At 42.3% G+C, this 25,112-nt stretch overlaps 1 protein-coding gene and 2 long non-coding RNA genes across 4 annotated transcripts in view, besides 9 other annotated features; 1 reads left to right on the top strand and 2 right to left on the bottom strand.

Annotated features, from left to right (window-relative positions):
* Window positions 852–2,051: an enhancer, noted in NCBI's record as "P300/CBP strongly-dependent group 1 enhancer chr13:27756774-27757973 (GRCh37/hg19 assembly coordinates)". NCBI's record gives its function as "activates an origin of replication core promoter dependent on BRD2, BRD4, P300/CBP, MED14 and CDK7 cofactors, with strong dependence on P300/CBP, by STARR-seq in HCT116 cells {active_cell/tissue: HCT116}" and the evidence as "EXISTENCE:reporter gene assay evidence [ECO:0000049][PMID:35650434]".
* Window positions 1,185–12,429, bottom strand: USP12-DT (USP12 divergent transcript). Its single transcript, NR_046548.1, has 2 exons — window positions 12,316–12,429; window positions 1,185–1,854 (listed from the first exon to the last, which is right to left on the bottom strand). It is a non-coding gene; the product is annotated as a USP12 divergent transcript (long non-coding RNA).
* Window positions 5,822–6,322: an enhancer, noted in NCBI's record as "H3K4me1 hESC enhancer chr13:27752503-27753003 (GRCh37/hg19 assembly coordinates)". NCBI's record gives its function as "activates a minimal SCP1, AML or CMV promoter by ChIP-STARR-seq in naive H9 embryonic stem cells {active_cell/tissue: H9 hESC(naive)}" and the evidence as "EXISTENCE:reporter gene assay evidence [ECO:0000049][PMID:30033119]".
* Window positions 12,101–12,290: an enhancer, noted in NCBI's record as "active region_7500". NCBI's record gives its function as "activates an Ori minimal core promoter by ATAC-STARR-seq in GM12878 lymphoblastoid cells {active_cell/tissue: GM12878}" and the evidence as "EXISTENCE:reporter gene assay evidence [ECO:0000049][PMID:35858748]".
* Window positions 12,351–12,990: a silencer, noted in NCBI's record as "silent region_5197". NCBI's record gives its function as "represses an Ori minimal core promoter by ATAC-STARR-seq in GM12878 lymphoblastoid cells {active_cell/tissue: GM12878}" and the evidence as "EXISTENCE:reporter gene assay evidence [ECO:0000049][PMID:35858748]".
* Window positions 12,877–25,112, top strand: part of USP12 (ubiquitin specific peptidase 12) — a 105,656-nt gene continuing 93,420 nt past the window's right edge. For both annotated transcript variants that reach the window (XM_005266282.3, NM_182488.4), the window contains exon 1: window positions 12,877–13,096. In XM_005266282.3, the coding sequence (XP_005266339.1) occupies window positions 13,049–13,096 (48 nt within the window). In that variant the 5' untranslated portion in view covers window positions 12,877–13,048. The remainder of the gene's footprint in view (window positions 13,097–25,112) is intronic.
* Window positions 13,131–13,180: a silencer, noted in NCBI's record as "silent region_5196". NCBI's record gives its function as "represses an Ori minimal core promoter by ATAC-STARR-seq in GM12878 lymphoblastoid cells {active_cell/tissue: GM12878}" and the evidence as "EXISTENCE:reporter gene assay evidence [ECO:0000049][PMID:35858748]".
* Window positions 13,241–13,330: a silencer, noted in NCBI's record as "silent region_5195". NCBI's record gives its function as "represses an Ori minimal core promoter by ATAC-STARR-seq in GM12878 lymphoblastoid cells {active_cell/tissue: GM12878}" and the evidence as "EXISTENCE:reporter gene assay evidence [ECO:0000049][PMID:35858748]".
* Window positions 13,401–13,470: a silencer, noted in NCBI's record as "silent region_5194". NCBI's record gives its function as "represses an Ori minimal core promoter by ATAC-STARR-seq in GM12878 lymphoblastoid cells {active_cell/tissue: GM12878}" and the evidence as "EXISTENCE:reporter gene assay evidence [ECO:0000049][PMID:35858748]".
* Window positions 13,501–13,550: a silencer, noted in NCBI's record as "silent region_5193". NCBI's record gives its function as "represses an Ori minimal core promoter by ATAC-STARR-seq in GM12878 lymphoblastoid cells {active_cell/tissue: GM12878}" and the evidence as "EXISTENCE:reporter gene assay evidence [ECO:0000049][PMID:35858748]".
* Window positions 13,791–13,900: an enhancer, noted in NCBI's record as "active region_7499". NCBI's record gives its function as "activates an Ori minimal core promoter by ATAC-STARR-seq in GM12878 lymphoblastoid cells {active_cell/tissue: GM12878}" and the evidence as "EXISTENCE:reporter gene assay evidence [ECO:0000049][PMID:35858748]".
* USP12-AS1 (USP12 antisense RNA 1) overlaps window positions 15,553–25,112 on the bottom strand; it is a 43,603-nt gene continuing 34,043 nt past the window's right edge. Inside the window, exons 2-3 of the long non-coding RNA NR_046547.1 lie at window positions 21,765–21,828; window positions 15,553–15,751 (exon numbers count right to left, since the gene is read on the bottom strand). This is a non-coding gene — a long non-coding RNA (USP12 antisense RNA 1). The remainder of the gene's footprint in view (window positions 15,752–21,764; window positions 21,829–25,112) is intronic.

Genomic DNA, 25,112 nt, shown 5'->3' with positions numbered 1-25,112 from the left:
CTCCCAAGTAACTGGGACTACAGGCACAAGCCACCACACCTGGCTAATTTTTGTATTTTTAGTAGAGATAGGGTTTCACCATACTGGTCAGGCTGGTCTTGAATTCCTGATCTCAGGCGATCTGCCCACCTCAGCCTCCCAAAGTGCTGGGATTGCAGGTGTGAGCTACCATGCCTAGCCATAGTTTTTACTTAGTAATTTTTTTTTTTTTTTTTGGAGACAGTTTTGCTCTGTCACGCAGGCTGGAGTGCAGTGGCACGAGCTTGGCTCACTGCAACCTCTGCTTCCTGGGCTCAAGTGATTCTCCTGACTCAGCCTCCCTAGTAGCTGGGACTACGGGCACAAGCCACCACACCCAGCTAATGTTTTTATTTTTAGTAGAGGTGAAGTTTTGCCATGTTGGCCACGCTGGTCTCGAACTCCTGAGCTCAAGTGACCTGCCTGCCTCAGCCTCCCAAAATTCTGGGATTATAGGCGTGAGCCACTGCACCTGGCCCTTACTTAGTAACTACTTAATGGATTCGTTTTTCATTCCTCCTCAGCAAACATTAATTGAGCATATGTAAGACTCCAAAAGTCTAGTAGGGATGACTAGACATGTAAACGATTGCATAACAGTGCATGCTGGTAAACACCATCATGAAGTCATACATAACAGTCTGAGGTAGTCCTGAAGTAGAGGTCAGCACTTGGGCCAAGCTTCCCAGAGCTTCTGACATTGAAGCGGATCTTGGAGGATGAGCAGAGATTTGCCAGGTGAAGAATTAAGGCAAATGTAATCTGACCATGTAACTTGTTCAAACCAGGACACTTGGGCGGGTGGAGGGGGAGGGTGGTTAATTAATAATTACACCAGAAAATAGGCGTAAACAGGTTGTTCTGGGCAAACCAGACCACATGGTCACTCTTGGCAGAAGGAACAATGTGGGCAGATTTAAAGGATGGTGGAAGCCCTTGGGAAAGGCAAAGGTTCAGCGTGTTGAACAAGTGTGGCCTGTGGGAGGAGGGCTGAGCTGGAGTGGTGGGCTGGCCATAGCGAGAGGGCGCAGTTCTCGCAAAGAGCTTCAACTTGGTCCCCTGGCAGTGGGAACCTGTGGAGGTTTCTCCGCAGGGCAGCACTGGGACCAGACTTGCAGTCACTGTGGCAGGGTGTAAAGAACTGGAGGCACAGACTAGAGGCTAGATAGAGGTGAGGCAGGAGGCTGGACAGTGGTTTATTGGGGGAATTATGAGCCCCGATCTCAAGCAGTATGGGGATGGGACTTCAGAAGGAAATATATACACTGGGGTGGAACATTCCTGGGGTGGAACTCACTGGCCTGCAAGCAGCGATGGGAGGGCTGGGAAGGAAAAGAAGAAATGATGATGCTTAAATTTCCAGCTTGGGTGACTGACTGGTGGTGTTGGCTCTCCGTCCTCATCGGTGGTGACAAGTAGAGAATGACCTCAGCTGTTTGGCTGACTCAGAGTTGACAGAGCACAGATACAGGAAACTCAGTTTTGCAGGGACCAAGGGCCCAGCCAAGTGGCCAATCCAAAAGCTGAGTCACTAAGCCAAAGGGTCAGCACAGATGGAAAAGGAGACAAGGTGCCCGGGGGAGCAGGAAAGTCCGTGAGTGAAAAGTGTGGAAGCAGACAGGCAGGGAAGCGGGATCGGAAGCCAAGTTTTATGTTGATTCGTGAGCAGGCTTCGTGTATTTGCACCCTTTATTCAGAAGGCAGCAGGGGATTCTTGGGCTGATACATGGAAGAATCAATAAGCCATGGCCCCCAGGGTGGACATGTGGACTGTGGGGGCAGAGGAGTGGATCTGTAAGCAGGTCACAGTCTTAGAAGTGATGGTGCTCTGGGGACCTGGAGGAGGAAGGAAATCAGTGTAAATTAACAAATTGGCATTCTGTTTTGTCCTCAAGTCCCTTGTGAGGGGTTTTTTTTTTTTTTTAGATTCTTAGTTTTTGATTGTGATAAAATCACATATTTATCATTTTAGCCATCTGTCAACATATAATTCAGTGGCTTTAAATACATCCACAAGGCGGTGCATCTATCACCATTATTTATACCCCAACTTTTTCATCATCCCCAACAGAAACGCTGTACCCATTAAACAGTAACTTCCCCTTATCCCCCCCTTATTCCCTCTCTGATAATCTCTATATTACTTTTTATTTTTATGAATTTGACGATTCCAGCTATCTCATATTAATATAAGTGAAATCATACATTAGTCCTTTTGTGTCTGGTTTATTTCACTTAACAAAATGTTCTCCATGTTCATCCACGTCATAGCATGTATCACAATTTTACTTCTTTTTTTTTCATCTTTTGTTTTTTTTCAAAGATAGGTCTTGTTATGTTGCCCAGGCTGGCCTCAACTTCCTGACCTCAAGCAGCCTCCTGAGTAGCTAGGACTACAGGCATAGGCCACTGCACCCAGCCTTCATTCCTTTTTATGGCTGAGTAATATTCCATATATATGTGTGTACCACATTTTAGGTTTATTCATTCATGCATCATTGGACACTTGGGTGCTTCCACCTTTTGACTATTGTGAATAATGCTACTATGAACATGAGTGTGCAAATATCTGTTGGATTGCCTGGATTCACTGCTTTTGGATATATACCCAGACGTGGAATTGCAGAATCATATGGTAATTTTATGCTTTCTTAAGAACTGCCATACTGTTTTTTTTTTACCATTGGCTGCACCATTGTATATTCCTACCAGCAATTTCCCCACATTGTAGAGAAAATGGTTGCAATTTCTCTACATTTATCTACATCTTTCCTAATGCTTGTTAGTTTCATATATATATATATATATATAGACATCCTAATAGGTCCTTGTGAGGTTTTTGTTGTTGTTGTTTTGTTTGTTTTTGTTTGAGTAAGTCTGTCTCCCTTGCACCAAATGTGTTCCTTGATAGAAAAATTGAGCTTCAGGTCTGATGACTGAGGACTTGTCTCTGGACCCACTCTGTGCTGTCCTATCTCAGCTGTCCTTTCTCTAAGGCTTTGGGTACATACACCAGCAAAGAAATTTATGTGGGAGTTTTCACTAATTTATGTAACAGTCTTATAACACTCTTTACACACTATATCTTGGAAAATTTTTAAGTAGGGCACTAGTGATGGTAAGTGAGAGAACCAAGACTAGATTCCTCCAAAGAGACACTTCATTTAGACCATACTTCATCATTTTGCGAGGGGGCTCATGGCAATGTTATGAATGGACCTCAGGGAGGTGCCAACATGATTTCCAAAGGCCTGGTTATGCCTGTAACACAGTGGATGGCTTAAAGAGCAAAGACAGAACCTCACAATGCTTCCATGTCATCCAGTTCCCATCAGATCAATGGCAACTCTATCAATGTGAAAAGAGAGCAAGAAGCTACCGGGCTTATAACCTTGAAACACTCTTTTTATTTTATTTTTATTATGAAAGTAATACATTTTCAATATGAAATGTTAAACAAAAATGAAGTACACAAAGAAGAAAGGGAAAGCCTCTATAACTCTACTTCCCAGAATTAATCACAAGTTAAATTTATAATCTTCTAAATATTAGGTATAAAATTATACCTGTTCTCTTACATCTTATCTTGAAATTTGCTCTTTCTTTTTAACTTAATAATAGATTGTGGATATGTTTTTGGGCAAGGACACATACACCCTTGTCTTAATTTTTTTTTTTTTTTTTTTTTGAGATAGAGACTTGCCAGTCACCCCACCTAGAGTGCAGTGGTGTGATCACTGTTCACTTGACCTTCTGGGCTCAAGTGAACCTCCTTCCTCAGCTTCCCAAGTAGCTGGGACTACAGGCGTGTGCCACCACGACTGGGTAATTTTTATTTTTCTTAGAGATGGGTTTCTCACTATGTTACCCAGCTGGTCTGGAACTCCTGGGCTCAAGTGATCCTCCTGCCTAGGCCTCCCAAAGTGTTAGGATTATAGGTGTGAGCCACCGAGCCTGGCCCTGTCTTAATCTTTTGAAGGCTTGAATAATATTCAGTTGTGTGGATGCATCGACATTTATTTAACCATTCACTATGACAATCAGTGCTTCCAGGGAGCATGCTTGGACATATTAACTTCATGCTTTTGTGTGATAGGCTTAGATTTTAAAAGAATAACAACACTTAGCAATGTGATTTAGGAAACACTCTGCAAAAAATCTATTAAAGATGCCTACTGCAGGTTGAGTGTCCCTAATCAGAAAATCTGAAAATTAAAATGCTCCAAAATCCAAAACTTTTTGAGTGTTGACATGACATTGAAAGGAAATGATCACAGAGCATGTCAGGTTTGGGATTTTCAGGTTTAGGATGCTCAACCGGTGAGTATAATGCAAATATTCCCAAATCCGGAAAAAATCGTAAACCCAGGACACTCCTGGTCCCAAGCATTTCGGATAAGGGATAGTCAGCCTGAATTTTGACTGTGCTTTGGTGTTTATGCAACACTGTTACAAGACACTGACCTCTGATTTAAGAAGTAACTGACAAACTGAAAGGGTCAGGGTCTTTCCCAAGTTTAACTTTCTAACCCCTGTACCAAACTGCCTCTTATCTTCCTCTGAAGACTCATATAATAGGCTTTATTATTATGTAACCATTTTAAGTGCACAGTTAAGTAGCGTTAAGGAATTTTTTTTTTTTTTTTGAGACGGAGTTTCGCTCTTGTTGCCCAGGCTGGAGTGCAGTGGCGTGATCTCGGATCACTGCAACCTCCACCTCTTGGGTTCAAGTGAGTCTCCTGCCTCAGCCTCCCGAGTAGCTGGGATTACAGGCATGTGCCACCACACCCAGCTAATTTTGTGTTTTTAGTAGAGATGGGGTTTCTTCATGTTGGTCAGGCTGGTCTTGAACTCCCGACCTCAGGTGATCTGCCTGCCTTGTCCTCCCAAAGTGCTGGGATTACAAGAGTGAGCCATCATGCCCAGCCGCATTAAGGACAGTTACACTGTTGTGCAACCATCCATCCATCTCCAGAATTCTTTTCATCTTGGAAAACTGAAACTGTGCCCATTAAACCATAACTCTCCCTGCCCTTCTTCCCAAGTCCCTGGCAACTGCCATTGTCCTTTCTGGCTCTATGAATTTGACTACTCTAGGTACCTCATACACATGGAATACTGTATGGAATCATATAATATTTGTCATTTTGTGACTGGTTTATTTCACTTAGCGTAACATCCTCAAGGTTTATTCGTGTTGTAGCATGTGTTGAAATACCATTTATTGTTAAGGCTGAATAATAATCCATTGTACGTTTATATTACATTTTGTTTATCTATTCTTCTGTCAATGGACATGCGGGTTGTTTCCACCTTTTGGCTGTTGGAAATTCATTACCTCTTGAGTCAAGGAATCACAAGCTATTTTGACTGAAGTGTCCTGTTAAGAACAGGTGAAGATTCCAGGTGAACAACCGTGCATTCCTTTTATCTCCTTGTGGGCTTGGTCTGGTGCTGAGAACTTATGTACAATATCATATTTAATCCTTTCAACAACATGATGAAGTAGGGGTCTTCACCATTGTATAATGAGGAAACTGGAGTTGAGAAAGTTAAGAGCTTGTTCAGAATCACAAACTGGCTGGGCATGGTGGCTCATGCCTGTAATCCCAGTACTTTGGGAGGCCGAGGCGGGCAGATCACCTGAGGTCTGGAGTTCGAGACCAGCCTGGCCAACATGGTGAAACCCCATCTCTACTAAAAACACAAAAATTAGCTGGCTGTGGTGGTACACTCCTGTAATCCCAGCTACTTGGGAGGCTAAGGCAGGAGAATTGCTTGAACCCGGGAGGTGAAGGTTGCAGTTAGCCAAGATCGCACCAGTGCACTCCAGCCTGGGTGACAGAGTGAGACTAAGTCTCAAAAAAAAAAAAAAAAAGAAAGAAAGAAAGAAAAGAAGAAAAAAGAATCACAAACTGAACATCTTGCATGTGTGTTTGTGTGTGTGTACAGGGGGAGTCAATCAAGCCTTCGGACACCCTAAGTCTTAACTTGAAACCCTGTAGTATTTCAGGGTCAACTATCCCTACTACAGAGCTTTATAAACTTTGACTTTCCCATATTCATTATTTTATTGTCTATTTCCTGTTTCCCAGGAACAATTAACAATAGAATCCTTAAGATGCAAAACTCCTTGCTGTTTACCAGCAACAGAAGAGAGGAAGAAGTGGCTCTGGGGGAATTGCGTGCCAGTCTGCGGCAGGTTGGCTGGAGAAGCAGCCCTGGTTGGAGCTTTGGAGAGACACATGTGCATTTACTTGTTACCTGGAAGACCTTTTAAAAAAAATTCTCGTAAATCTGTCATTTGTGTATCCTCAAGGTTTGTGGCAGAAAGCAGATATATCTGCTCCTGTGTGTAATTGTTGTTAAAAAACACAAAAAGGAAATAAAAGTGCACAACATACCTAGCAGACTTGACCAGAGGGAATTGGGAAAGGCCAAAGTAAATTATTCTAAAAAATAAGCAAGCAAACCAGAAAAGGTTAAGATGGAGAGGAGCTTAGAGGAGCAAGTGCTCTTCCCATGCTGGGAAAAAGGCAGCGACAGAACCGCCTAGTGGGCAGGTGAGGGCACTGATCACGTGATAGACTGGGGCCCACTGCATCTCTTTTCTCTTTGGGTCTTGAGGATGGAGAGGCAGGAACATGAAAACAGTGAGAAATTTTGAGGTTCACTTCCCTTCTTCCACCTCTCACTTCCCCCATAACCTCTTCCTTTTGATAGTGCTGGAAGAACAACCCAAGGCCAGCCCTCTTGAAGCAGGCAAATAGATGCTTGTCCTTTACTTCATGTATAAAGAGATTGTTTTCTTTCTTTACTAAGACAGTCAGAGCCAATGAAAGTGGAAGATAAGTACCTCGAGAGAGCCCTAAGGAGGGAGCATGGGGGTTCAAGTGTATGGTCTACTTAGGCAGAGAGGAATCAGAGTTAAACTAGGCTCAAAATACATTTTTATTTTGAGACAGCCTTGCTCTGTTGCTCAGGCTGGAGTGCAATGGTGTGATCTTGGCTCACTGCAACCTCTGCCTTCCGGGTTCAAGTGATTCTCCTGCCTCAGCCTTCTGAGTAGCTGGGATTACAGGCGCGTGCCACCATGCCCGGCTAATTTTTGTATTTTTTAGTAGAGATGGGGTTTCACCATATTGGTCATGCTGGTCTCGAACTCCTGACCTCGTGATCTGCCAGCCTCGGCCTCCCAAAGTGCTGGGATTACAGGTGTGAACCAGTGGGCCTGGCCAATACATTACTTTTAAAAAGAAAAAAAAATGTTAACTGTGCCCTAGTAATTTAAAAATAATGTCACATAAATATGTCTTTTAAGTCTTAAAAATACTCCATTTACTGAAATTTTGAAATAGTTGTATATTCGCATGTGTAACTAAAAAAGTATACAGTAAAAATTCCCTCCTCCACCTTCTCCCCTAGTTCCTACTTCCTCATTCCAGGAAATCACCGTTAACAGTTTCTTGTGTATATGACAGGAGTTTCTTCATGCTAAATATATTTTGGAATTTTTTATTTGGTTTAACATTGCTGTGCTTAGCTATTTTAATAGAGTTTTTTTTTTTTTTTTTAAAGAAGAAGTAGAAACTGTGTGTATTTCATCAGCTGAGGATTCAGCTTGAACATTTCAGGAAACCCCAACGTGGCACATTACCTCTCCCTAGGTACCCTAGGTAGGCTGATGAAGGTCAAGTGGCAAGGAGGCCCCGTGGGTGCTAAAATGCAAATCTGAATGTGAAAGTGACAGCAAAATGACAAGGTAGAGCCAAAGGTTTCCCATACAAACTCCAACAAATGGTTAAACCCTGGTAAAACATATAGAAAAACTACTCTGAAAAATTTGAGAAGTAGGTAGTAGAGAGAAGGCAAGATGAAGGAAGATGTATCCAAAGGAAAAACTCTAAGGGCACAAATCAAGAAAATCAGAGTTGGGAATGGGGAAGTTAGACCTAGATGCCGGAGGCTTCTCGGAGTCCAGAGGATGTTTCCTTTTCTTGTGCTATTTTTTTTCCCCTGATAAACTTTCTCATTAGAGCTGAGCAAATGCTGAAAAGAAAATGGGAAACTCCAACCCAAAGAAGAGATTCAGAGAAGCAGGCAGAATATCTGTTAGTGCTTGAGGAGCCTTGAAATGTATCGTGTTGCTTGGAGGTCAGCACTGTTCGAGACCAGCCTGGCCAACATGGTGAAACCCTGTCTCTACTAAAAATACAAAATTAGCCGGGTGTGGTGGCTCATGCCTGTAATCCCAAAATTAATCCGTCTCAAAAAAAAAAAGAAAGAAAAGAAAAAAAGAAAAAGAAAAGAAAGGAAAGGCCTGAAAAGTCGCTGATTTGTTGATTCAAGCCAATAAAAAATTTACTGTTTTGATTGACATCTACTGCTTGATGACTGGGTGATATTAATGAATGCCACTAAGACGACTGATTCCTTCAACTATTAAGAGGTTGGGTAAAGAAGCGGAGAGACCACAGGTTTTAGAGTCAGAGCCTTTGTGTGGATCCTGGCCCTGTATGTGCTGGTTAGTGCAATGATGAATGTCATATTCCCCTGTGTGTAAAATAAGTATGAAATGATGGATCTGTAAGGTCATCGTAAGGGTTACATTGGAATATGTATCTGAAGTACTAAGCAGGTGGCTGGCACATAGCAGAGGCTCATTAAATCTGGAGGAGCAAGCTGGCAGCCCGAGGGCTGTATTTGCCCACCCCAACTTTTTTTTTTTTTAAATTTTTTTTTTTTTGAGACGGAGTCTCGCTCGGTTGCCCAGGCTGGAGTGCAGTGGCGCGACCTTGGCTCACTGCAAGCTCTGCCATCCAGGTTCACGCCATTCTCCTGCCTCAGCCTCCCGAGTAGCTGGGACTACAGGCGCCCGCCACCATGCCCGGCTAATTTTTTGTATTTTTTAGTAGAGAAGGGGTTTCACCGGGTTAGCCAGGATGGTCTTGATGTCCTGACCTCGTGATCTGCCTGCCTCGGCCTCCCAAAGTGCTGGGATTACAGGCATGAGCCACTGCGCACGGCCCCCCAACTTTTAAAATGTTGACTTTGAATGTCCATTCTAAACTTTCCATTTTGTGTTGAGCGCCAGGCACTATTTGAAACATGTTTTATCGTTGTAACATAATTATTACCCTTATTTTCCAGATGAGGAAAGTGAAACAAAGAAATATCGATTTGAGTATTTTTTTTTTGTAGCTTAAACCTTCATGCAAGTCCGAAAGGAGTCGTGCCTCTCAACCTCATCCTGTCAGAATCAAAATAAAATACTTTTACAAAGCTAGTGTAGTGGAGTGGACACAGGTGTGGCTCCTGGAGCTAGGTTCAAACCTTGGTTCCATTGCTTACTAGTTAGTTGTGCAACCCTGGAAAAGTTATCTCTGTGCCTTGGTTTCCTTATCTAAACGTGGGGATAATCGTAACACCTGCTTCATTAGGTTGTTGCAAGGATTAGATAAAATGTTTACACCCCTTCTTGGACCACTCCCCATCACTTTCTTTCCCAACCCATCACAAGCAAAGCTTCACGAATCATTTATGTGAGCTGGTATAAACCCACATGCCTTCAGGGAGAAAAGAGGTAGCAGAACTATATAATAAAGTGACTTGTGTTAAACTGTTGAACAGAATGAGTAAAGGAAAATTTGAGGCAGACTGTAAGGAACTGGAGAGTGTAGGATTGTGTAACAGTATGCAAATGAAAACATTATAAAATGCTGTGCTGACTAAATGGATTAAGGTTGGACATAGTTCATTTACTTGCCTGGTCCCTGAGGCATCTGGGCATATTTTGTAGTTTGCATATTCAAGAAGGCCGAAAAGGAGTCAGTTGTACACAAACTCATCTTTTGCTAGGCACAGGGAAGCTCTTTGTAAAGCTGATTACACAGCTGTGTAAAGCTGTGTTCTAAAGCCAGATTACCCTTTCCAAGCTCAGGGTGCAAAAGTGTGGAGTTTCAGCCAAACTTATTCTCCAACTGCATTACATATGGTAAAGAACACTCAGTACAACACCTAGCACATAGATTCAAGAATGTCTCTTTTATGTTTGTGTCTCTCCAATCGACCATAGGCTGTGGAGACAAGGCATTGTGAGGCTCTGTGATTAGGTTTCATGACTTTACCTGTGAATTTAGATGGCTCCAACATCAACTAGACATGACTCCAGATAATTCTATCAGAAATCCATTTTACTTTTTAAAATTTAATTTAATTTAATTTTTGAGACGGAATCTTACTCTGTCGCCCAAGCTGGAGTGCAGTAGCATGATCTCGGCTCACTGGTTTTTCCCAGGTTCATGCGACTCTCCTGCCTCAGCCTCCCTAGTAGCTTGGATTACAGGTGCTCGCCACCATGCCCAACTAATTTTTGTAGTTTTAGTAGAGATGGGCTTTCTCCATGTTGGCCAGGTTGGTCTCAAACTCCTGACCTCAAGTGATCCGCCCGCCTTGGCCTCCCAAAGTGCTGGGATTACAACAGGCGAGAGCCACTGTGCTGTATTTTTGAGATACTGTTTCAGTCTGTCGCTCAGGCTACAGTGCAGTGGTTCAATCATGGCTCACTGCAACCTGGATATCTCGGGCTTAAGTTATCCTCTTACTTCGCCTCACAAGTAGCTGGGACTATAGGTATGCGCCACCATGCACCACGTATTTATTTTTATTTTTAGTAGAGACAAGGTCTCACTATGTTGCCCAGGCTGGTCTTGAACTCCCTGGTCTCAAGGAAGTTGGAAGCCATCCTCCTGCCTCAGCCTCCCAAAGTGCTGGGATTACAGGCCTGATCCACTGTGCCCAGCCTAGAAATTTATTTATTTATTTATTTTTGAGAGAGTCTCACTCTGTCACCCAGGCTGGGGTGCAATGGCACAATCCCAGTTCACTGCAATCTCCACCTCCAGGATCCAATCTATTCTTATGCCTCAGCCTCCTGAGTAGCTGGGATTACAGGCGTACACTGCTACGCCTGGCTAATTTTTGTATTTTAGTAGAGACGGGATTTCACCACGTTGGCCAGGCTGGTCTCCAACTCCTGACCTCAAGTGATCCACCTGCCTCGGCCTCCCAAAGTGCTGGAATTACAGGTGTGAGCCACCATACTCAGCCTAGAAATTCATTTTAGAAAGGCCTTGTTCTTATATAAACTTATATGTAAAGCCAGTGGCTTTTGTTCCTGTGACATGTTCGGATTAATGGACAAGGAGGCATATGGGTGGTTAGCGGGATGGAGGCAGGTCTAAAATTCTGGCACATCAGACCTGTTTGCTGGAATAGAACAGCAAGTGGGAAGGACAGGATGACCACAGCTATTTATCAGGACGGGCACACAGATGGGCATGGTGACACTCGGACAAGGCCCAGGTAGGCCCTAGAGGTCTAAGATGTAGAAACCCTTGTCCAAACAGGGGGTAGAAAAGAGCAAGAAAGAATTCAGGTGGGTGATGCTTGCAAGTATAGAGAGGAAAGCCCCTGGCTGGGGTATCAGGGCTCTTGGCTTCCATGGAGGCAGGCGCTTGGAGATCCAGTCCGGCTACCATGGGGCTTGGCTATATTCAATCTGCATTCCCCCCCCAAGCAAGCTTATAATGGAATCACTATGGAAACAGTATTCATGTACCAGAAGTCTATTTTTCACTTAAATTTTGTTTGAATGCTTTTTGTTTTTGAGTGCTTTGAACCCTTGAGGTGAGGCATTTCTGATTTTACAGCTCTGCCTGAATTCAGATCCTCAACCCCACTGAATTAGGGGAACCCAGAAAAGTACCCCATCACGAGTTCAATCAGAAAATATCACAAGCTTTCTAACATAATAATTTATGAAGTTATTCTACTCACTTGAACTACTTTCTCAAATAGGAAAAAATAAAGCTGAGCTGCCAGGCATGAAGAACAGGGTGCAAATATGAATTTTATAAAAGGAGAAAGAGGAACTACCCATGCCAGTAGCCAGCACTGCCTAAGGATTTCTCACAGGGCATTTTTCTTGCTTGCGGGCTTCCTGTCTCTGGTAATATCATCATCACTGCTGGCTTGAGATCCTCCCTATTTTGCAGCTCAATGTGCAGATATTTAGAAGCCTATTATAAATTTATCGCCAACAGGCCAACAGGTTTCGCTCCTCTCCTTCCCCCATTACTTATCTTTCTTCTTAATTCAAAGAGTTAAACATGTGTAATTTGTTCTTTGCCTCTTCATTTTTGTTTAATTATTTTGTCTTTTTCTAAGTTGTGTTTGACTCCGGTGATTCATCCAATATACGTAAAAAGAAACAAACCAAGTGCTTGGGACGCATACCCGGGTTATCTTAACTGTGCAGAGCAGGTTTCCTCCCACTCCGCCCGTAGTTACCCAGATCATCGCCTCCGTTTTCTGTTTAGGCAGCGGGGGCTCGCCGTCCCCTCGCCCGCGGTGGGTGTCGCAGCTGGTCCCCTCCAGGGTTCTCCCAGATCGCCGCCGCCACCCCCGCGCCTCCCCGCCGCACCCCTTCCTACGCGGGGGTCTCTGGGTCCCCGGCTCTAGGACCGCAGGGACGCGGGCAGGAGGTGGCGCCCGCCTTCGGTCCTGCCCTCTGCCGCGCGCGGGGTGGGGACGGACCGGAGTTCCCCGGCTCGCGCACAAGGGCCGCGGAGGGGTTGCCGAGGGGTGGGCGGGGCTGCGCCGCCTGGCCGCGCCGCTGCCTGGCAGGCCGGGCATTAGGGCCTCGGCGGAGCCCGCTCCCCTGTGCGCTGGGCGGGGTGGGCGGAGGGCGGCTTCGCGTGCAGGCGCGGGCCCGGAGGCAGCGGCTGCGCCCTGCGCCGGGGCGGAGCCGGGGGCGGGCCGGCGGCCGGCAGGCGGGGGCTGGGGCCCGAGGCCGGGAGTGCCTGAGCGCCGGCGGCGACGACGGCAGCGGCGGCCCAGCGGGCTCGGTGGTTGGGTCCGCGGCGGCTCGGGGTCCGCCCGCGGGCTGCGGTGCGAGCGGGCGGCCCGGCTCCCCTCCTCCCCCGCCCGCCGCCGCCGCTGTGATTGGGTGGAAGATGGCGCTGGCCGGATGGAAATCCTAATGACAGTCTCCAAATTCGCCTCCATCTGTACCATGGTAGGTGGCGGCGAGCGGGCGGCCGGGGCTGCCGGGACCTCTCGGGCGGGCGGGCGGCGCTGGACCCGCCTCTCCCAGTGGCCGCTCGCGGGGCCTAGCGCCGGGGCGGGCGGGCGGGCTGGGCGGCCCGGGCGGCCCGGGCGGGGGCGGTTGGACGGCGCGCAGGCGGGGAGCGCGGGGGTGAGCGGCCCAGGCGGCTGGGGAGGGGGCGCCGCCTGGTGGGCCAGGGCGGCGCGAGGGTAGCGGTGAGTGGGCGACCGTGCCAGACGCGGCGTCGGGCGGGCACCGGCCTCCGGGAGTCCCCGGCTGAACTGCTGGGGTCCGCTCGGGACGCGGGGACGAGGGCCGAGGCGCGCCCGGCCTGTGCCGGGGTGAGGGGTGGGCGCGCGCGAGCCAGAGCGCGGCCCCGGGCCGGGGTCGTCGGGGAGGGGGCGCGGAGCCGCGCGGGCTCCATTTCCTTCTGGTCGCGCGCCGAGCGGGAGGGGTCCCCGGGAGGGGTGGGGGTCGGCGGGCAGGAAGGAAGGGTCTCGGCCGGGGCGGGCAGCGCTCATTCCCGCCTGGGAGAGGACGGAAGTCAAGTGCAGATTTCCTCGCGCCGCTGGCTGGGCCGAGTCCCCGACCCCGCGCTGGGGGAAAGGGGCGTGTGTGAAGGTGGAAACTTTAAATAAGTACTGTTGAAATTCTCTCCATTTTCTCCTCTGAGAGGCACGAGCTCTCCCGTTTCCAGCCGTGTGTCCAGGTGGCAGTCTTGTCTCTGGGAATGCACGTTAATCTTGAAAAGCAGCATTAGCTTTCCTGTCATTTGTTTACTTCAGCCCACCAGACACATCTGTATGTGGCTGGAGCTAGGTCTGTCTGTGCGGGGACCGCCTGCCAAGGCGATGGTATTTGTTTTCCTAGGGCGTTTAAATAGACTGTAAGGGAAAAGTGCTAATGCCCGCTGGAAGTCCCGAATTAAGCAAAACGTGGGCGCGTTTAAAACTTGGTGTTTTGTGCGTGGCCAGAAGGACCACAGTTTTCCACATGATGAGACAAATTCGTTTCATTAGTTCCTCATGAGCTTATATGTAGGGATCATAATTTATGAGTCATCACCGAAAAAAGTTGTTCTTTGCAACGTGGGCCTAGTGGTTGTTATTAGAGACTTCTGAAATCTTGTGTTTCATGCCTCACTGGCCCTATTTATGCAACTGATTTCATATAGGAGATCCCCAAGAAATTTTCCATCTAAGGGTGGTACATTGTATATATTTTTCTTTAAGGAGTGGTGAATCAGATCTGAAAGATGCCTTAAAAAGCAGATTCTCTACTACACGCTGAGGAACAGTACAAAAAATGACTGAAATCAGGTGGACATAAAATCGACAGTATTAAAGAAATCATATTGAAGGATGAATCATTGAAGACTCCATTTCCCAACTGGATGATTGTTCTTTCTCACAGTTTACATTTTAGGAAAGCATTTGTATTAAATGGACTATATTAAAATGATTTTGGAGAATTGTTTGGGCTAATTATTTTTAGATACGCCAATTATTATCTTAGTCAATTTCAAAAGGAATGCGATAATTAGGTCTTTTACAGTGACAATTTTGCCACATGGCTGAGCTACACACATTGTATGGGTCATAGTTCATTGTCAAAGACTAGATTTCAGGAGTGGTGTGATACTCTTTACCGACTGTTCATTCACTCAAGTACTGTATATCAAGTATACACTTAGCAGCCACTAAGTGCTAGAGGCGACGCTGAGTACTGGGGATGCAGTATTGGTCAGGGCAGCCCCTGTTTTCTTGGTGTTTACATTCTTGCTCATGGACACAAACAGTATTCAGGTAAACAATAAATGTATGCTGTAATCAGATTAGGACAGTGAGACACAGGGATTTGCCAGGGTCACACACTTAGTAAGTGGGATTCTGATCCCAAGGATGTCAAATCAGAAGCTCTTTCTAGGGCTTCCATCCAGATACATTAATTACATGTGGGGCGTGTGTATTGTTGGCAAATACAGAAAATGCCTGGCCAAATGAGATCGTTCCAAAGGTACTATTAAAATTGGGTGTGTCTGTATTCATATTTGAATACATTCGAATGTACCCCCAAATAGTGCTGAATATCTCAAAGTAATTTGCAGTCTTATTCTTTAAAGAAAATTGCCATTTGTCCTCTGAGAATCACAAAATTGAAAAGCAAAGATACCTCTTTGGCTTTGTAGGTGCTGTTTTGCTAGGCTTGGAACGCTCCTCCCTGCCACACCCCGTATCCTTCTTGTCTGGCGAGTGTGTGTGCCTGTCTCTTAAGCAGGGAGCCTTACTTGAATAATCCTACCCCTGTCCAACCCGACCCTCCATCCCCTTCATACAGTTTCATGGCATTTTTGTAATCTCAGTAGCACTTATCATACTTACTGTGCAGTAAATTTTTCTTTGAACTCTTACTCAATTGTGAGGGCCTTGAAGGGGAAGGATTATCATTTACTTCTGCAGTTTGATCTGGAGTACCAAGTTCTGCATTCAGTATAAAAGTTTTCCAAAGTCCTTCCTGCCTCCTCCTGGTATGCCGGGTGAAGCAGGGATGATGTGGCTGTGTGTGTGTGGAATGGTGGAGAGAAGATGGGCTGGACTTAAACAGAACACTTCTCAGAATCAGCAGCTGTGAAAACATTTAGGATGAGTTGAAATTTTATTCTATAAGTACTGAAGTGTACATAATTTTTTCATTTGTCAAAATAACGTACCTGGGCAAATCTGCAATACCTTAATTGGGTTAAGTAACTGTTAAAAACAATTCTCTTCAGCTGTGTCTTATTTTAGATCACTAGTGTTGTGCTTACATGTGAAAATTAGTAAAACTTGTTTTTCATAAGTTAGTATTATAGCCTGAACCAAATGAGTGATTATGTTTAGATTGCAGTGAGTACATTTTCAAGGGTACCTCTTGAAATACCTGTTTTTAATTTGTCTATGAAATAATACATTTTCAGTATCACATAGTGTTTATTTTGCCTTTGAAGTAGTTTCAGACTTCAGGGCCTGGCACGGAGTACCTGCCTACCTGATATTTAATATTATACTTAATAAGTGTGAAATAACGGGAAAAGTGACAGAATACATGTAGAGAGGCTGTGTTTTGCAGTTGAGGTGGCTAATCCGGGTGGTCCGTCATGGGCATGCAGTAGTGGTCAGGACAGCCCCTGCTTTGGAGCTGGCACTACTTACTGTTAGCTCCATAAATGTTAGCTCTGCCTCTGATCATTATTGTCTCTTCCTGTTTGGGTTGTAGGAGTCATGGTTAGGAAGGCGTTGTTGGGAGGGGGACCAGACAACGGAGAAGTTGTTGGTGCAGGAGGTGGGTAGAGTTAGATCATGGGGTGGCACTGGCCTGGCTGCTTGCCCACCCTCGGTTACAAGGGCATGAGATTAGATCCATTAGAACATGGTGGTAATGAGGCCAAAGCTGGTAAAGGTAGGTGCTAGGAGAGTCCCACGGGCTTTTCTTCTGAGAAAGCCTGTGCCTAGCACAGCACCCTGAGCATGGTAAACTTTACTTGCTGAAGAAAGGCACAGGTGAAACTGGCTGTCTTTTCTTTTTTGTTTGCTCTGTTTTAATAACACGATTTTTAAAAACATAAATTAGAAAGGACATACATGGAAAATGTTTGCCTTTTCTTACTGCTCAGTCTCACTGGGATCCAGGTAAGGGTATGTGTGGTCAGTGCAATTTATCCTTACTACTGAAAAAAAGGAAAGCTGGGGCAAACCTCAGAGCCCATGCGTTGTTGGGAATGTGTGTGTGTGAAAGTCTCCTCTTCATATAACAAGAATATTATATTAAATAATGAAATTTCTTTTTCCTTCTCAAGAAATAGGGTGGATGTAGTTCTTTTATTAATAAAATATTTATTTGTAAATTAATATTTTATTAGTAAAATAGTACTTCTATGATAGGAGCATTCAAATGTGAGTTGCCATTGTTTTACTTATCTAATTTTGCTGTGTTAATTTAAGAAGGGAACAAAACTTAAGCTTCTTAAGCCTTTAAAAAAAATAAGAAAACCTCAAAAATAAGGAATCTTCTATTACATAAATGTTTGGTCAAAGGAATGTTTGAGCTTGGTGGAGAGAGAACATTTAGAAGAAGTATTAATAGAAGTTTTATTTAAGCCCACTCATCTTTTGAATTTGTCTAAAATACATTTTGGACATTAAAAATGATACATTCTCATAGAAAATCTGGAAAATATAAAAACTCCAAGAAAGCAAAAGGAAGGTCAATTTTTACCTCCCAGAGGATATGTTATTTATTTATTTATTTTATTTTTTTTTTGAGACGGAGTTTCACTCTTGTTGCCCAGGCTGGAGTGCAATGCTGCAATCTTGGCTCACCGCAACCTCCACCTCCCAGGTTCAAGTGATTCCCCTGCCTCAGCCTCCCGAGTAGCTGGGATTACAGGCATGTGCCACCACGCCCAGCTAATTTTTGTATTTTTAGTAGAGATGGGGTTTCTCCATGTTGGTCAGGCTGGCCAGAGCATATTTTATTTAACTTTTTAAAAAACTTGAGTTGTATTCCCTAGATATAGTTTTACACTGTTTACCCACGAATGATTATCATGTTATCATTATCATCATTCATGCCCATCCTAAAATTTGCCCAATTTTAGGATGAACATGAGTTTAATGTTATAAAATGATGAGGTGGTGAGATGAGCCCAATAAAGCATAGTGGTAGGGTACTAGGGCGTTGACAGGTTATATGTTTAATGATTATTAGAGGGTAAAGTGATATAGTTAGCAGAAATGGAATTTTATAAGAGGTGGTTTATTCTAATCTTAGGCACTTAGTTATCACAAAGATAAGACTTGTTATGATCTGAAATTTTTAATATGCTTGAAAACTCTAGTTTTAAATACCATATTCAATTATGTGGCATGTGTATAAATATTATGGTCTTATTTTATATCATATGGCTTTGCTTACCTTCTGGTGACTTTCTCTTTCCACCTTTTGCTAATAAGTGGCTAATAGGTCTCAAAGTAGGTTAATTATCTGCCCTACCATGATCCATGTTGGCCAGTTGCAGCGAGATGATGTCACATTTCTTGTTGCCTTATTTGATTCTAGACTTTTGACCAAGTCCCCCCAAACTGAGTCTGCCTCCTTTTTGTCATTTACCAAATTCCTTTCTTCCTGCCTTTAAACTCATATTTATTCTAGCTCTTCTGAAACTTTTATTGTCTCAGGAAGTATCTTTTAAGCATTTGTATACTTTGTATAATTCCTTTCCAGAAACCTTTTTAGATTTAAATAATCTAATTTTGTTTTGGTTTCTCTTTTAGCAGCTCTATTCCAGAAACTTAATATGGTATTTTGTTATGTATTTGACAGCATGGTATAATGAAAAGAGCAGTTGGACCAGAAGGTAAATTCTAGTCCAGATTTTGACATTTAGATGTGTATATATGGGAAAGTTTCTTAAAACTTCGAGTTAATTTTTCTCATCTGTGAAATAAAGGGATTGGACTAGATACTCTTTAATAGATATTCCTTATATGCTTGTCTCCTTCTAGGTCTAAAATTCTGATCCTTTAGTAGTTTATAAATGATTATTGGTATCATTTTCATCATTTTAGGAGCTCTTTTTTAAAAAATTATTATTATTTTTTTTGCTCTGTAGCCCATTTCTAGAACATCTTGGGAGTTCTAATTATGTTTTAGATAACATAAAAAGCATAGAATCAGACATAATTAAGCAAGAATTTCACTTAGTTCCCTAGTTTTTACAGTCTAAATACATTTTTCTTTCTTTAAAACTGGAGGTTACTGATACCACCATTTTCGTCACCAACAGCCTAATAATTCACAAAGCTATTTGCTAATTTTTGACACTTTTTTCTTTGCCAGTACCATTAAGGGATTTGAATTTTTTTGAGGTTCCATGTTTATTTCTTTAGTTATGAGTATGACCTTGGACAAGTTACTTCTCTGTACCTGTAAAGTGAGAGTAAAATAACATCTAGTTCATAGGGTTGTTGACTAGTACCTGGCCCATGGTAATCACTGTGTCATGTTGGCTGTTACTGCCCTTTAACATGATTTGCTCCCCTCCCTGTGGTAAAAAGTATTCATTGGCACTACTAATTAATCTGTTAGCTCAACATATACTAACCAAAATGGAAATTTGTTTTGTGAAATACAATTGTCAGTTCCTTTTCATTATAAGAAACGTTAGTTTATTAGTAGTATATACCCCTGAGAAAGCACTAATTTATTTTGAAATTGAGTGGATTAATTCATAATATGAAAGCTGAGAATGTAGATTGTCTTCTTTCTCTATTTTGAATAGTTCATAGAATAATTTATTTCTTTTATCTGGGAACAAAAATAACTGGTCTAATTTGTGACATTCTCAAACATATTTTACAAGTTTAGATAAGTTGAGAATGGCAAAAACCACAATTACTTTTGCAACAATCTAATACTTTTAGAAGAAAAATCTATCTTACCTTATTTTATACTAAAAAAAAAAAAAAGCACACCAGCTTTTTGTCATTACTAGAACAAGGTGTGTGCATTCAAGTTAGCTTCAGGACTTATTTTCTTTCAGATTTTTCTGTTTACTGAGGCCATATTATTATATTTAATTTCCTTATGCTCTATCCTTTAGGGAGCATAACAAGGGAATAACATCTCTTGTTGGCTTACATTGAACTTACCCACCTTGCTCTTAGATATCTTGTCTAAAACCTACAGTCCCAATCTCCTAGTCTAGAAGAGGGATATTTACATATCTACACCATACTTTAAAGGTGTTGGGAGAAAGTAGTAAGTGAAGAGTTGTATTATGAAGAGTTACACTTGCTGAACTGAAAACTCTCTATTGGAGTCCCAGTATTGTTGAAAAACTTACATATAACATTTGACCATTTGCTATCTTATGTGCAGAATTTGCTTTAGGAGGTTAGAGTGGCAGTTTATATACATTTATTTAGGAAGAAAAACTAGTAAGTCTTTGCTTTCTCACAGCAAAACTCGAAGACTTTTGTGATAGTGTAAACTATAAGAAATTTAATGTAGAGCACCACTGTGTGAGGTGGTATAGCCCTCTCTGTTCCTTGGCTTATGCTTTGCTGCTGCTTCTCTTTCAGAAGGACCATTAGCTTCTTCTAAACAGTATGTTATGTCTAAAGAAGAGATGTGTAAGCTTGCTTTATTTATCTGTAGTGAGCCACATGTCCAAAGCTACGTACCAATAAAAATTTATTTCCAACTGAAAACAAGAAGTAGATGTTTATTTCAGTGATAATGGACAGATGTTCTTAACTGAAATGCTTCATGGGTAGAGGAAGCATCCACACATTCTCTACTTGTAAAGGGTGGTTTAAATCATAATATCTTTCAGTAGAGTTAGAGTACTGTTGCCTTTGATTTTATTTTAGTGCTTTTTATTTTAGTGACCTACTAAGCCTCTACCTGATGCTAGTGATTTTTTTTTTTTTCCTTTTTGTAGGGATAAAGAGTGCTTTTTCTAAAGTATTTTGAGGAAGGATTCATGGAGACCTACATTATATCGTGCTGCATGTAGGTTCTGAGAACATGAAGACGACTGTGATAAACTCTGGTCTTATGGAACTTCCCATTCAGTGTGTCTTGAGTGGGTTATAGTTGTGCTGAGGAAGTAGTCCTCTTGACCCCTGGGAAGCCTGGAGGTATCTGGGTTGATAGGAGACCCTTAGCCAGTCCCTTTCTGGTGAGAGCAGACATACCTGTCTTACCTGTAGCTTCTTTTCTTTTTTTTTTTTCTTTTTTTTTTTTTTTTTAAGACAGGTCTTGCTCTATTGCTCAGGCTGTCTCCTACATTTAAACCATCCTCCTGCCTTGGCCTCCCAAGGTGCTGGGATGACAGGTGTGAGCCACTGCACCTGGCTATGTCTGTATTCTTGTGGGCTTTACATATACTATTTTCTCTGTGTGTCCTGATGAGAAGATTGAAAACCAGCTCTACTTACAGTATTGTAGAAGAGGATGGACGTATAAAACAAATGCATGCAATGAGATGTTTTTCTTATTGGTATAAGTAATGGTAATTATATGTGAAAGAGAAGGTGGTTTTGGGAGAGAGAAGAGGGCTTCAGGAAAAAGCTTCTTAGAAGAGAGTTGAACTTTGCAAAATGAATGGCCTTTATTATGTGGACATGGAGGGATGGGATACCAGATGTAAATAGATAATGTGTTACTCTTAGGCTCTGTAGGTGGTTTGGCGTGAAAGCGGGTCTTGTGAACAGTAAGGCTGGAGAGTAGGAAGGGGGCATATTTAAAGAAGTACCAGGAGTTTACCAAGTATTGATTCACATTAAAATGATTATTAAAGTGTGTGTTTAGCCTGAGGAAATGTAAGTCCAGAGGACAGTCATGAGGATATAAGAAACAATGGAGTTGGTAAAAATATGCTGGTAAATTGAATTACATTGATTTTTCAAAATTTGCTTGTATTTTTTTTAAGAAGAGAAAATGACAACAAAACAAGATGGATGGGGTACAAGGACAGTTCAGTGGGTTGTTAAAACTTGTTAAGGGCCTCCTTGTTTAAGAGCCAACTAAACAACCACTATTGGAAAATTTTGGATTGTATATACATGTTAAAAAATTAAGGATAAATACACACCCACACAGGGAGTGAATTTTCTTGCTTCCGTAGCAGCAGACATTTAAACGTTACCATTCAAACTCTGAGGGAAGGAAAATAGGAAAAACAAAATGAAAAAGAATGACAGAAAACACAGGTGGAAGAAATAAGCTCTTCTAGTTCATTAATCATAATAATCCAAATGGTTCAAACTTACTTTCATTGTATTAAAGGAACTATCAGAATGGATAAAAAACAAAATATTGCTCAATAAGAAACCTACCTAAAATGAAAGGGCAATCTCTTTAACAGTAACACGATAGTATTGTCACAACTAAGAAAATTAACAATAGATTTTTTTTGAGGTATTTCAAAAGCATTAATTTTATTTTGTTGTTGTTATTAGTCTTTCTCTATCTGTCATCTTGAAGATCCATTCAGAATTAGGAAAGGTTAGGTAGTATTAGCCCCATTTTCACAAAATGGAAAAGGAAGCTTAAAGTCAGCCCTGCAGCAGCTAGGGATGGGGTCCAAATTTCTAGACATGCAAACTCGTTATGACATCTACAGGGCAATGTGTTGCAGGTTTGATGGTTGAGACAAAATTACTCCTTTTCAAACAAGAGATTGGGGAATTTTTATTCCTGACTTTTCGGCTGCATATCTGTGTGTGTGTGACTTTGAGTCCTCACTAATTATTTTCACTTGGGTAGGCCGTTTAACTGGTTTCAGTTATGAAATGGAATAATAATTTCCCCATTAGATCAGATGAGATGACACATGTGAACGTCCTTTGTACTATAAATACATATCAACATCACCCTTACATGGTCATTGTTGGTAAGACTCCATGCCCTCTTAAGGAAAGGATGGAAAGCACATTAAGATACTGTGGACTGTAGGAGTTGTAACGGAGCTCACAAGTTACCTTTGACAAAGCGTAGTCATTTCAAAGTTTGAAAATGAGTATTTTAATGATCCATGAAGCAAAGTTTTAGATTACCCTTAAAATCTTTACTATGTTAAAAATGTACAGTTAATGAGTGGCTTTTTAATTTTTTTTTATTTTTTTTTATTTTTTGAGACAGAGCCTTGCTCTGTTGCCCAGGCTGGAGTGCAGTGGTGCAGTCTCGCCTCATTGAAACCTCTGCCCCCCGGGCTCAAGCTATCCTCCTGCCTGAGCCTCCCAAGTATCTGGGACTACAGGCACACACTACCATGCCCAGCTATTTTTTCTTTTTAATTAATTTTTTTTGTAGAGACAGGGTTTCACCATGTTGCCCAGGCTGGTCTCAAACTCAAGTGATGTAGCTGGCCTCCCAAAATGCTGCAATTACACGTGTGAACCACTGCACCTGGCCTGTAGTTAACTTCTGATGGCAGTAAACACTGCAATTCCCTATTAGTAACATTTTTTTTTAAAGGTATAAAATTATAGTGAGTAAATTGCCTTTATTTCTACAGTATTGGTCTACCTGGGTTTTTCAGGGATCCCTGAAAAGAGACTTTCAAAATTAGAGCCCATCTGGGCACAAGTAAAATAAGTCATAAAGTACTTAAGTTGTAGGGGTAAGGAGACAATAAAATACAAGGCTTTTGTTCTTTGGAATGGAAAATGCATTTATAATTTGAGATTCTGTAGATGAACATTTATTCTGCTTTGTATGTGATTATCTTAGTCCAAAAATCTAGCCGTTATAACTTTGAAGAAATTATTTCTGCTGTTTCTCTGGCATATTGTTTCACAATTTTTCTTTGCTGATGTTGCAAAGGTTCCCTGTTTGTTTAATTTGCTTAATGAAGAGACTCATATGCAGGATGGTTAAGGTGGTACCTTGGGGGTAGTAGCTGGGACTTTGAAGTTTGCGTTAGGAGGTATATCTTAATAGAGCAGGGGGATTCTCTTTTCCACAAAACGGGATATAATGTTTAGAAGGTTTCAGACTTAACGGCCTTGAAAGATGACGCTTTGTGGAGGGGAACGCTACACACTGGGGCCTGTGGGGAGGATGGCGGGAGGGAGAGCATCAGGAAGAAGAGCTGATGGATGCTGGGCTTAACCCGGGGAGATGGGTTGAGCTGTGCAGCAAACCACCATGATACGTTTACCTGTGTCACAAACCTGCACATCCTGCACATGTACCCTGTAACTTAAGGTTGAAGGGGGAAAAAAAAAAAAAAGAAACATGATGCTTTGGTTCTTTTAAGAACAGGTGAGGAATAGGAATCAAGTGGTTTCACTGTTTGTTGTTTGATGGACCTAGAGGTTTAAAGCTGATAATTTCTTCAGACTGATGTGCTCAGGGTTTTTATGTAAAGGTGGACAAAATTTGGAACAAATTTGAAACATCAAAGGCTCAAAAACTAGATACAACGGACCAAAAACAAAACCAAAAATATTGTGCTTTTGGTTCTGCTAGGCAAATTAGAATCTTTTCATTGTCTGGTGTTGCATTTTTTTTTTTTTAAAGACAGTTCACTTTTTTAAAGTTTACTGGTTAGTTTCATTTGTTTTTATTGCATTTTTTTTTTCAATTTGAGGAGGCTTATATCTCCTCCACGGGGGACCCTGCTGAACAAGGACCTGCCATTGTCATGTGACTGGTTAAAGCAGAGGCCTTCACTTAACTTGGCAAATGAAAAACTAAAAGGAAGCAACTTTTACTTCTGGTTGTTTTCTCACTATACACATCAAGCCTTAGCCAGATAAAAATGCTTGGATATTTGTATCATTGTCTTAGTTGGAGACATTATGTTGCCCTTTTTAACTAAAAAGATACAAGTGAAATCTGTCACCTTTTTTTGTTCTCTGTTTAGTTTCTTTCTTTATTGAGTTTTTCCAGCTTTACTGAGGTATAATTGACACATGGTATGTATTTAAGGTGGTATTTTCGTTCTTTAAAGACTGCACAGTTGCCTTTGCTCAGGTTACTCCTCCTGCCAAGTGTTCGCAATTCCGCTCTTTCAGGTTTTTACTTCCTTGTGTCCTTAAAGCTTCTCTTCTGTTACACATTTTCATCCCAGATGTTAGTTGCTTTAATAGTCTACTTTCTTTCCTTTTCATCTCTGAAACTGGGTTGTAGTTATTATACCATTTCAGTGCTAATAGCCTACCGTGATGTTCTTGCCATTTTATGTTAATGATGACTTAGGTCATCTTCCCTGACTTGTAAAGTTGAATGTGACATCTGTAATTTTAGCTTTCCCAAGGAACTTATATAGGAGTCTGACATTTATTGAGTGGCTACTTGGTGATGCTATTGCTAGGCATTTCACAGATTCAGATCTCACAATGATAAAAAATAAAGGTGTAGGAAAGTTTGAGTTTAGATAAATGTATAGATGATAAATCTAGAACAGACTGTTAAAGAGAGTTAGGATATTTGG

The sequence above is a fragment of the Homo sapiens genome, chromosome 13 (assembly GCF_000001405.40).
Source record: "Homo sapiens chromosome 13, GRCh38.p14 Primary Assembly".
Taxonomy (NCBI): Eukaryota; Metazoa; Chordata; class Mammalia; order Primates; family Hominidae; genus Homo; species Homo sapiens.
The sequence above is the reverse complement of the archived record's forward strand: the minus strand, read 5'-3'. Positions and strand labels throughout refer to the sequence as shown.